At 49.9% G+C, this 12278-nt stretch overlaps 1 non-coding gene across 1 annotated transcript, besides 2 other annotated features; it reads left to right on the forward strand.

Annotated features, from left to right (window-relative positions):
* The first annotated feature begins 4307 nt into the window (after window positions 1–4307).
* On the forward strand, window positions 4308–4380 carry TRK-TTT8-1 (tRNA-Lys (TTT) 8-1). The gene has a single exon. It is a non-coding gene; the product is annotated as a tRNA-Lys (tRNA).
* Window positions 11204–11263: a silencer, noted in NCBI's record as "silent region_1741". NCBI's record gives its function as "represses an Ori minimal core promoter by ATAC-STARR-seq in GM12878 lymphoblastoid cells {active_cell/tissue: GM12878}" and the evidence as "EXISTENCE:reporter gene assay evidence [ECO:0000049][PMID:35858748]".
* Window positions 11439–12039: an enhancer, noted in NCBI's record as "H3K4me1 hESC enhancer chr1:205450402-205451002 (GRCh37/hg19 assembly coordinates)". NCBI's record gives its function as "activates a minimal SCP1, AML or CMV promoter by ChIP-STARR-seq in naive H9 embryonic stem cells {active_cell/tissue: H9 hESC(naive)}" and the evidence as "EXISTENCE:reporter gene assay evidence [ECO:0000049][PMID:30033119]".

The following is a 12278-nucleotide window of genomic DNA, read 5'->3' on the forward strand; positions in this document are numbered from 1 at the left end:
ACGCCTCTGCTCTCAACTCATTCACAGTCTAGCTGGAGACAGAGGACAGCCACAGGAGCAGTTAGTGCTCAGGTCTTGACCGAGGGCCTGCCATGGGAGTTCAGAGGCAGGCTGGCCCAACTCAAGGCTCCGGGAGGAGACAAGGTTTGAGCAGGGCCAGGACAACCGGATATGGTTTTCTTCCCTAGTCAGCTAAGATCTGTTCTTAGTGGAGGTGCTCAATTAGCCAAGCTCATGAATTCTGCATGTCTGACTGACTTTCATCCACCTCCCTCTCCTCCCTTCAGATGGAGCCCTCTGCTCTCTGGGATGTAATTACGATATCTGGCCTGTTTTAATGAAGGCAAAAATATTCAGTATTTGTATGCGACTTCTCCCATGTTGGAGAGGGTGGGAGGGGGCAGGGCAGGGAGGCGGAGCCTTGGGAGAATGAGAGACTAATAACCGCACCTTTGCACTACCATCTAGCATCTCAGTTCACAAAGTCCATTCGCAAGTATTTTCTCATGGAATCTATGGCCCTACCACGGTGGCCAAGTGTTTTAGAACCATTTGTGCCAGCAAGGTGTGTCTGCATGGTGTTTTAAATGATGTTGACATTATGTCAGCTCAAGTAAATCAATATTTCCATGTCAACCAACTCATTTAGCTGAGAGTTCACATACCAGGATATCAGTTAACTTACATCAAAAATGTTTCATTAGGAAGTCAGTTTTTATTTCTCTTATTGTTCATGGTGATGTTCACTGACCTATTCCTAGCATGTTACACTAACCTTGAACTGTTGATTGGAATAAGCACAATTGTTTTACAAACCACTAGAAAAATAAAGAGTTTTATTAGTTACTATACAACCATTGGTTGTAAACTATGTGCCAATTTCAAAGATACTAAAATTTGAAAAATAATGCATGTTTAAATCTGTAAAATGGGCCAGGCACACTGGCTCATGCCTGTAATCCCAGCACTTTGGGAGGCCGAGGCAAGCAGATCACTTCAGGTCAGGAGTTCAAGACCAGAATGGCCAACATGGAGAATCCCCGCCTCTGCTAAAAATACAAAAATTAGCCAGGTGTGGTAGCAGTGCCTGTAATCCCAGCTACTCGGGAGGCTGAGGCAGGAGAATCACTTGAACCTGGGAGGTGGAGGTTGCAGTAAGCCAAGATCACACCACTGTACTCCAGGCTGGGCGACAGAGCAAGACTCTATCTAAAAAAGAATAAATAAATAAAAATAAATAAATAAATCAGGAAAATGGTCTAGGTGACAATGGACACAACAATAAACATTAGTCCACCTGACTTTGGCACATGAATTTTTTTTTTTTGAGACGGAGTCTCTGTCGCCCAGGCTGGAGTGCAGTGGCGCGATCTCGGCTCACTGCAAGTTCCGCCTTCCGGGTTCACGCCATTCTCCTGCCTCAGCCTCCCGAGTAGCTGGGACTACAGGCACCCACCACCATGCCTGGCTAATTTTTTGTATTTTTAGTAGAGATGGGGCTTCACCATGTTAGCCAGGATGGTCTTGATCTCCTGACCTTGTGATCCTCCCACCTCAGCCTCCCAAAGTGCTGGGATTACAGGTGTGAGCCACCACACCCAGCTGGCACATGAATTTTTTTACTCAACATTGATCCCAAATTCAATAGCAAATGGGAGAGGTACAGAAGGAGAGAGGTGAGAGGCAGTTTCCAACTTATCAAGCTAGAAGATCATAGACCATTCTTCTTATGCTCTAAAAGAGCATAGAGACTTAAAATTTTACAGTTCCATTTCATAGGTGAAATTATCAGTGCTCCAAGACATACATGGCTGCTCAAGGCCACACAGGTAGGAGTGGCATGGAACTCAACACTAGGGCTTCTGCTTCAAAATTCAGTGACCTGAACAACTCAAATTCCATCAACTGATGGGTGAATGGATAAACAAAATATGGTATAACCACATGGTAGAATATTATTCAGCCAGAAAAAGGAGTGAAATAGTGATACATGCTACAACATGGCGAACCTTGAAAACATTCTGCTAAGTGTAAGAAGTCAGACACAAAAAGCACATGTTTATTTATATGAAATATCTAGAATAGGCAAGTCCACTGACAAGAAAACAGCCGAGTGGTTGCCAGGGGCTGAGAGGAGGGGCAATAGGAGTGACTGCTCATGGGAATGGGGTTTCCTTTTGGGGGGATGAAATGTGCTGGAACTAGATGGTGGTGATGACACACATCCAATGTACTGAGTGTCACTAGTGGCCGGGCACGGTGGCTCATGCCTGTAATCCCAGCACTTTGGGAGGCTGATGTGGGTGGATCACGAGATCAGGAGTTCAAGACCAGCCTGGCTGATATGGTGAAACCCAGTCTCTACTAAAAATACAAAAACTAGCCAGAAGTGGTGCACGCCTGTAATTCCAGCTACTCGGGAAGCTGAGACAGGAGAATTGCTTGAACCTGGGAGGTGGAGGTTGCAGTGAACCGAGATCATGCCACTGGACTCTAGACTGGGCGACAGAGTGAGACTCCGTCTCAAAAAAATAAATAAAAAATAAATGTCACTAGTGGTAAATTTTATGTTCTGTGTATTTTACTACGATTGAAAGAAAGGAAGGAAGGAAGGAAAGAGGGAGGGAGGGAAGGAAGGAAGGAGAAAGCAAGAAAGAGGAAGGAAGGCAGGAAGGAAGGAAGGAAAGAAGGAAGGAAGAAGGAAGGAAGGCAGGCAGGAAGGAAGGAAAGAAGGAAGGAAGGAAGTCAGGGAAAATCGAATATTCCATGTTCCCTCCTCCCTGGTACTGTGCAGCCCTGGTCTGCAGGCTGGCACAGCAAGTGCCTACCATGCAGGGGGCGCTGAATAAATTGTTGATAGAATCGGGGGTCGCCGCTGTTTTAGAGAATTTAGGAAATCCCCAGAGAAAAGACAGCGCTTTGCTCTGGAGGTCACAGTCAGGAGGCTGGGGGTGGAGGTGGGCAGAGAGAAAAAGAAGTGAGAAAAGAGAGCTGTGGAGGGACAGGCAAATGGGAGAAACAGGGAAAAAGAAAAGAAAGAAGAGAGAAAAGTGGGGAAGGGGAAAGGGTCTTTTCTCCAGAGAAAGCAGGGCAGGAAGGAGAGAAGAGCGTGGGCTGAGGTGAGTGGAGGAAGGAGGGGCAGCGGGGAGAAGCTGGGGCAGCTGGAGAGCTAAGGTGCCAGAGGAGAGGGCACAGCGGGCACTTGGCAAGCCCACTCCCCACCCTCCACCCGGGTTGTGCCCCTCCTCCTCCCACAGGAAGATGAGCAGAGCTGGCCTGAGATCATCTGTCTTCATTACACCGTCCCCACCAGCCCTGTCACTTCTTGCCAGAAAACTCATCAATATTCCCCTGAGACTTGCCAGCCCCAGCCCCTTTCCTCCCCTGCCCCCACCCCAGCCCCCCACCATCCTCCAAGGCCATGTGCCTGGACCATCTGATGAGCACACCCGAGTCCTCCGCTCCAGGGTCCCTGCTCTTCTCTCTCTCCTCGGCAGATCCAACCAGGGCCCTCCCTCCTGGCCGCAGGGTCCGTGCTAGGGAGGAAATGGACGCATTCCCTGGAGCTGGGGAGAAGCCTTCCTGGAAGCCAGCCGGGCTGAGAGGAGCTATCTCAGTGTGTCAGCCCCATGGGGAAGACATCCTTGACCCCTGTGTTTGAAATTTCAAAGCACCCCCCAGCACTTGGTATCCCTTGCATGTACTTCATTTTTCTCTAGTCTAAACCCTTGACCGTTGTCTAGTATGGGCTCTGTATATATAACCTATAGTGCATATTTACGTTGTTTATTCATCTCCTCCTTGTAGAATACTCTGGGAGGGCAGGGCTTATGTCAGATGCGTTCACTGCTGCATACCCACGCCTAGGACAGTGCTGGGAACATAAGTGGAATGAATGAGTGTTGCAGTGTTGGGTTTGGATGCCCAGCAGCAAAGTGTTGGCACCTTCTGGGTGCCTAACAGCCTCACTAAAGATTGGGATAGGGAAGTTTCAGTACTGAAATCCAATGGCTTCAATACCAAGAAACAAAAGCAGAAGCCAGATTTAAAAATTCCTCTGATTCTCACCCATCCAGTGGCCTCTGTTACCTTTAGAATAAAACTCAAACTGTTTCCCAACCTGGCCCAACTTGATGAGGCCCCTGGCTGCATTTTTCATCTCATTTCCTACTAAGCTCTGCCTCATTCACTCTGCAGAAGCCACTGTGGACCTCTTGCAGCTGCTCCAACCCTTGTCCCAACCTACCAAGGTTATTCCCCACTGAGTGTTTTAGCACCACAGCCCAGACTTTAATACAGGCAGGTGAGCCCGGAGAGCTCAGTGGGTAGAGCATCAGACTTTTAATCTGAGGGTCCAGGGTTCAAGTCCTCGTTCGGGCATCCTATTTTGGCTGGGCACGGTGGCTCATTCCTGTAATCCCAGCACTTTGGGAGGCTGAGACGGGAGGATCACAAGGTCAGGAGTTCGAGACCAGCCTGGTAAGTATGGTGCAAACCTGTCTCTACTAAAAAGTGCAAAAATTAGCCGGGCATGGTGGCGTGTGCCTGTAATCCCAGCTACTTGGGAGGCTGAGGCAGGAGAATTGCTGGCAGGGTGAAGTTGCAGTGAGCCAACATCGTGCCACTGCACTCCAGCCTGGGTGACAGAGTGAGACTCTTGTCTCAAAAAAAAAAAAAAAAAAAATACAGGCAGGCAACTGGCTTCAGACAGCCTGTCCCTCATTCTATTTAGGTCTCAGCTAGAATCTCACCTCCTCAGAGATGCCTGCCCTGACCACCTAAGCTAACACAGCATCCCCCATCCCTCTCCAACCCCTGACCTGCTTTTTCCCTTCTGGTGCTACCTGACTGTATAGTACATATGTTTGTTTATGGCTCTTTCATTAGAGTGTAAGCTCCATGAGGGCAGGAACTTTGGTTCACCCCAGGTAGTAGGTGCTGTTGGTACTCTGCTCACCTCCTTTGCTCTAACTACAGAGCAGTGCTTAACCATCCACCAGCATCTGCCTTTCTTTGCCAGATGGCTTTCTCCTGCGGTACCTGCTTTGCTTGCCTTGTGATATGGCTTGGCTCTGCGTTCCTACTCAGATCTCACCTTGACTTGTAATAATCCCCATGTGTCAAGGGCGGGACCAGGTGGAGATAATCGAATCATGGAGGTGGTTCCCCCATACTGTTTTCATGATAGTGTGTTCTCACCAGAGATCTGATGGTTTTATAAGGAGCAGAATTCCCCCTTTGGTCAGCTCTCATTCTTCTCCTTCCTGCTGCCATGTGAAGAAGGACATGTTTGTTTCCCCTTCTGCCATGATTGCAAGTTTCCTGAGGTCTCCCCAGCCCTGCAGAACTGTGAGTCAATTAAATCTCTTTCCTTTTTAAATTACCCAGTCTCAGGCAGTTCTTTATAGCGGTGTGAAAACGGACTAATACACCTTGCATCCAGCAAAAGGTAATTCTCAGAAAACTAACACACACCCCAGAAACCCTCAACCAATGGCAGTTAATAGCTCTCGGGTAGCAAGTATTATTACTAGCATATTTAGTGAACCTGAGGTATTTTGAGTATAAACAAGTGTTATAAGTAGAGGAAGGGATCCTACTAGTGTGTAAAATAAGAAGTATGAGCTTGGATTGAGGTGTTCTGGTTGGTTGCCTCAGTGGGTGATGATGATTAGGGTAGAAACTAATCGTTGTTGGGAGCTGGTGTATAACATACCTCTACCCCTTTGTTTCCCAGGTAAAATGATTCTGTGGTGCCCGTTCTAACCTGGCTCCCAGAGTTACTCAGTGGCCTTGAGCTTTGATGACTCCCAGGGGTAATTTTCCTGATAATGATCCTTTATGGGCTGCCTTCCCTTCCCAGTTTCCCTTCCCTATTCCACTCCTGGTATATCCTGGGATCACTTCCTAAATAAAATTCTACAGTTAAAACTTTATTTCAAATTGGAATGCTTCATACGTTGCTGGTGGGAATGTAAAATGGCGTAGCTGCTTTGGAGGATAGTTTGGCAGGTTCCCAAAATGTTAAATATGGAGCTACCATATGACCCAACATTTCCACTAGGTATCTATACCTGAAAGAATTGAAACATATGTCCGCACAAAAACTTGTACATAAATATTTATAGCAGCATAATCCATAATAGCAAGAAAGTGGAAACCACCCAAATGTCCATGAAATGGTGAATGAATAAGCTAAATGTGGTACATCCATACAATGGAATAGTATTCAGCCATAGAAAGGAATGAAGTACTAATACATGCTACAACATGGATGAACTTTGAAAACATTATGCTAGATGAATGAAGCTAGTCACAAAGGGCCACATATTGTATGATTCCATTGATATGAAAGTCCAGAATAGGGAAATCTATAGACACAACAACTATATTTGTGATTGCTAGGGGTCAGGGGAAGAGGAGAATGGGAATAACTGCTAATGTGTATGAGGTTTCTTTATAGGGTGATGAAAGTGTTCTAAAATTGTGATGGTTGCACAACTCTTAATATACTAAAAATCACCACATTATACACTTTGAAGGGGTAAATTATATGGTATGTGAGTTATATCTCAATAAAGCTTTTTAATTTTTTTAAAGCCCTTGTCTCAAGGTTCACTTCTTGGGAAACCTCAACTAGGATTCCCTAGAACCTAGAATTGTGCCTAGCACATAGTAAGTGTTTAATCAGTGTGGAAATACATGTTGAATGACTGAATATTGAACAACAGCAAACTCAGGTTTAATATGTCACATACACACAACTGCTAATAGAACCATACCTCCATTCCCACAAGCCAGGCCTTGACCACCACCTCATTCCCTACGGGAAACATTAAGTCCGGCAGGCATGTCTGTTGCAATTGTTAGCTTGTGAAAGGAGCAGAGTGGTGTGTATGTGTGTTAGTGAGATGGTGAGGGAGGGAAAGGGATGTGTGTGGTGTGTATGGGGTTGGGGGTGTGTGTGTGTGATGTGTGTGTAGTATGTGTGGTGTGAATGCTGTGTGTGTATATATGTGTAGTGTGTGTATATGTGTGCTGTGCGGTGTGTGTGTGTATGTGTACAGTGTGTGTATGTAGTATGTATGGTATATATATGGTGTGTGCTGTACATATGCATGTGTGTGTGTATATGTGTGTGGTGTATGTGTGGTGTGTGTGTGTATACGTGTAGTGTGTTTATATGTGTGTGGTATGGGGTTCCTGCAGCAGGTCACTGTCACTCTGCAGGGTGTCCCCACCCGCAGGGATTTGGCCGACATCTTCAGCTGTCCATTGGTTGGCCAGTCCCATCTTTTGGGGTTCAAAGGCTGAGAAGAGAAAATGGAGCCCGACCCTGAGCAGGTTTAGAGCAGAGGACACCCCTCACCCATGATCCAACATGCCAGACCCTTTCTCATCTGTTAGCAAGAAAGCCAGTCCTTGAGGGACTTAGATCACTCCCATCACCATTAGAATGGGCTTCCCAACATCTATGACTCAACATCCCCCTCAACTGAGTGAGACTGTCAGATCCCTGCCCCCATCCCCCACCCCTACCTGCTATGGCCTAGCTGAGCTCCAAGGATGAAGACCCCGCGGCCCCAGGTGTGCCTGCGAAGCTGTATGTGGGGTGAGGAGCACACTGGTGAGCAGGGTGTGAGCCCTGGGACTGTCACAGCCCCGTAAGGTTCAGAGCAGGCTCCTTCCCACCTTGGCCCGGGTCTCCTGGGAGTGTGGTGAGGCACAGGGCTGGCTGTCTGCTGACATTCTCAGTCCTTCCAGCAGGGTACATCCTCTGCCCTTCCCCCTGAGGGGTTAACCATCAGGACTGCCCCTCCTTCCTCAAACCCTGGCAGTTCCAGGGGTGCCCTCTGTCCCAGGCCTGGCCTGGCCAGCTGCCCCCTCCATTCTGCAGGGCCATGTGGATTCCCTCTAGCTGTCCCTGGTCCAGGCGCTCAGTGGCAGAACTGTAAATCCTCTAGGCTGGCTCCAGACTCTACCTGCCTGGGCACCTGCTTCGGAGGACGGGCCTGCCTTTCCCGCCCCCGGCAGATGGCCACTGCGCCTTGGGATCTGCAAGCAGGAAAAGCAGCACCAAGCATCCCCTGACTGGGCCTCCCTTGGTCCTGGCCCGCTTCCCTCACACCCCTCCCCAGGCAGCGTGCCCCTGCCCACCTGTGGGCAGCACTGGCTGTTGGCTCCAGCCCATTCCAGTGCTCATTCTGACGGTTAAGTCAGACGTCACTCCACAAATATTTTTGGCCTCCTTGCTCTGAGCCAGGCACTGTGCCAGGCCCTGGGGATACCAAGATGAATGAGGAAGCTAGAGGGTACTGCCCACAAGGACTCAGGAGAGCAGAGCAAGTAACACAGAACGCAATGTAGTAAAAGCAAGGGCATTGTTCATAAAACAGAGCTAATCACACGCAGGCACTGCTGTAAGCACTTTATGTACATTAGGTCATGTAGTTGCACAGCTCCATGGTGGAGGTCTCATTACAAATACGGAAGCTGAGGCTCAGAGAGGTGAGGACATTTGTCCAGGGCCACCCAACTACTACAGGGTCGAGGTAGGATTCAAACCCAGGCTGTCCAGCTGTCCAGCTCGAGCCTAGCTTTTATTTATTTATCTATTTATTTATTTGAGACTGAGTCTCACTCTATCACCCAGGCTGGAGTGCAGTGGTGCTATCTTGGCTCACTGCAACCTCCGCCTCCTGGGTTCAAGTGATTCTCGTGCCTTAGCCTCCAGAGTAGCTGGGATTACAGGCATGCACCACCACACCCGGCTAATTATTGTATTTTTCAGTAGAGGCAGGGTTTCTCCATGTTGGCCAGGCTGGTCTCAAACTCCTGACCTCAATTGATCTGCCTGTCAAGGCTAGCTTTTAAACAATGTTAGATTGCTTCCAGATGAACCCAGGAGGAAGAAGCTCAGAGGGCATCTCTGAGCTGCCTGGAGAGGTAGTGAGGGATCACCGGGCAGCTGGCTTTCTCTTCCCAGAGGCATTGAACTGATTTAAATATGGCTCTAAACACAGTGAGCTGGCAGGGGCCTTGGGGCCTCATGATATTAAGCCCTTAATGGTGTGAAGCCCTTCCAGGTACTAAAGGGCAGCAATGTTGGCCCTTGGCATGGGAGGGCAGGGAGGGAGGAGGGCCATGGTGCCAAGAATCTGTAACCACAAGACACCATGTCTCAAAAAAAAAAATTTTTTTTGAGACAGGGTCTTGCTCTGTTGCCCAGGCTGGAGTGCAGTGGCACAGTCTTGGCCCACTGCAGCCTCAAACTCCTGGGCTTAAGCTGTCCTTCCACCTCAGCCTCCCGAGTAGCTGGGACTACAGGTGTGTGCCACCATGCCAGGCTAATTTTTTAATTTTTTGCAGAAGTGGGGTCTTGCTATGTTGCCCAGGCTGGTCTCGAACTCTGGGTTCAAGCAATCCTCCCACCTTACCCTCCCAAAGTGCTGGGATGACAGAAGTGAGCTACTCCTGGCTAAGACACCCTGTCTTTGGTGCCAATATCACCACATGAGCAGAGGGCAGTCCTGGGGGTCCCAATGAGGCCTCTCCACCATTTATTTTATTCATTCCATTATAGTCCATACTTGCTTGATCACCACACTTATTTCATTGCCTGTCTATCTCCTAAGTCTCCAAGTTCCCCCATGAGCCATCACACCTGGGCAGGGCATGAATGTTAACATGTATCCCCAGGACCATGGTGATGGGGAGGGGGGTGGGGTGGTGGGGGGTGGGGGGGCAGGGTGAAGCTTCATTCATAAGCACCCTCACTCCTCACTACAAACTCTCAGAGAGTTCTGAGAACTCTCCAGGAACAATGTTGCAACCATTCGTTCCACACATATTTATCAAGGGCCTCCTGTGTACCACGCAGGATTTAGGCACCAGGAACCCAGATCCGCCCTCAAGGACCTCTAGTGCAGCAGGGGAGACAGAGAAGAAAGCAGGCAGCCACGTGCTAGGGAGAGCCAAGCCACGGGGGAGACCAGTGGCTCTTGGGGGTGGACTGATGACTGCAGGGTGAAGTTATCCCTTTGAGGGGCCCAGACACTGAGCTGAGAAATGGCACAATTGCTAGAGAGAGAATTACAAGAAAAGCTGAGCTGTGGATACAAACGTGTGAGACAGAGAGGGGCAGGAGAAGAAGCCAGGCTGGCAGGGGTAGGGGGGTAATAATTCCAGTTCTAACTGCTTCTACACAGAAAAACTCATTCAATCCTCGCAACAAGTTTATGAGGCAGGTACTCTTAAAATACCGATTTCATAGGTGAGAAAACCATTGGCACAGAGAGGTTCAGTGACTTGCCTCGGACACACAGCTAGAAAGTAACAGGTAGGTTTTTTTTTTTTTTTTGAGACAGAGTCTTGCTCTGTCACCCAGGCTGGAGTGCAGTGGTGTGATCTCAGCTCTTGCAACTTCCACTTCCCGGGTTCAAGCTATTCTCCTGTCTCAGCCTCCAGAGTAGCTAGGATTACAGGCGTGCACCACCACACTGGGCTAATTTTTTGTATTTTTAGTAGAGGTGGAGTTTTACCAAGTTGGCCAGGCTGATCTCGAACTCCTGACCTCAAGTGATCTGCCTGCCTCGGCCTCCCAAAATGCAGGGATTACAGGTGTGAGCCACTGCGCCCAGCCACAGATAGGATTTGAACCCAGGAAATCCGGCTCCAGCATCTGTGCTTCTAACCACCATACTGCACGGCTGTGGCAAGCAGGAGTCAAACCATAGACATCCTTTTGGTCATACTAAGGAGCCTAAAATGCTCTCCCAGGGGATGCGGAGACCCTGGAAGTTTGAACGGGAAAGAGGGATGAGGCTGGAGGCCGCATGGAGGATGGGTTTCAGGGGTGAGGCGCGAGGGCAGCCAGGAGGCTGTTGCTGCAGCCAGGTGAGAAGAGGTCCAAGGCAGCGGTGGGAGAGGGCAGGATGAATTTGAGAAAAACCAAGAAGGTAAACTTGGCAAAATGTGTGACTGGCAGGAAATGAAAGCTTGTGAAGAGGGAGGTGTGAAGAGGGGCTTTCCGATCTCTGGCTGGGTGCTTGGGGGAGGGTGCGCCACCGGCCAGGCCACCGAACACAGGAGAAAGGCTGTCGGAGTGACGCTGAGTTGAGGTTGGGGTGTGTTGTCTTGGAAGTATTTGCGGGACGCCCAGGTGGAGGTGCACAGCAGTCAGTAGAACCCCACAGCCCTGCTGCTACACCAAACCCATCTTCTCCCCACCCACCCTGCCCCCTCCCCCAGCCCCATCTTCCTCACCCCCCTCCTCCCTCCATTCTAGAGCCACCAGACTCCTGGAAAGCCCCAGTGCTTCCTCTGGGTTCCCAAGTCCTTGCACCTGTGTGGCACCAGGGCCTCCTCCCTGAAGCAACAGTTCGCCTCCCGTGGAGTGGGCATCGCAGATCCGCTCCCATTTCCGGCCTGCCCTTAATGTCCTCAGATGCTGGGATGGGAGTTTTCTAGTCTGTTTTCCCCTGGCAGCAGTGGGGACTTGATCTCCCTCCACGTCGTGTGGCCACAGCCTGTGACTCCATCCCCGTTAAGTGAACCAACACCGAATTGAGGAAGATCCCGTGCCGACCTGCACACTGATCTGTTGCAAGTCTGCTCATCAGGGTTCCTAGAGGGCAGCCACCTGGGCTGTGGCAGGGAAAGAACTGGGTGTGTAGGGGAATCAGGAAGGGGGATTTGTGGCAGACAGAGCTTGGGATGAGATGGGACCCAGGGTGCCTGGGAGAGACCTCTCACCAGAGGTTAGGAATCTAGATGCTAACCCTGGCCCTGCTACTGTGCTGCTGTGTGACCTTGGGCATGTTACCCAACTGCATGCATCTCCTCTGTCATACTCAGGCTCAACAGCATAGCCTGGCAGCCGGACATGTGGGCTGTCGACCTCCCTGTGTCACCTTCCTGCAGGGCGGCCTCTCTGCCATCAGGAGAGGGGAAGCCCACAGAGCCACAGTGAGCAGTGCTGGAGGGGTGGGCGCTTGGCAGAAAGCCCAGCAAGGTGTTTTAGCAGCAACAGGACAATAGAGCGGCTTAGCACCGGGAGCTTATTCTGCTTATTTTCCCATCTGTGTGTCGGGACATGCCAGGGCTGGGTGTCTACATTTCGGTAAGCCTCTTGCTACAATAGCATTCTCAGCAGCTTCAGTCACTTAGACCACAGTGGTAATCCGCTCAGGAAGAGCCCAGCCCTCGCCGCAGCAGCCCGGGGGGCCGTATTTGGGGCAGGACGCCCGTCTGCCTCTGCAGCCACTCCTATTGCCTGC

This window comes from Homo sapiens, chromosome 1 (genome assembly GCF_000001405.40).
Source record: "Homo sapiens chromosome 1, GRCh38.p14 Primary Assembly".
Lineage (NCBI taxonomy): Eukaryota > Metazoa > Chordata > Mammalia > Primates > Hominidae > Homo > Homo sapiens.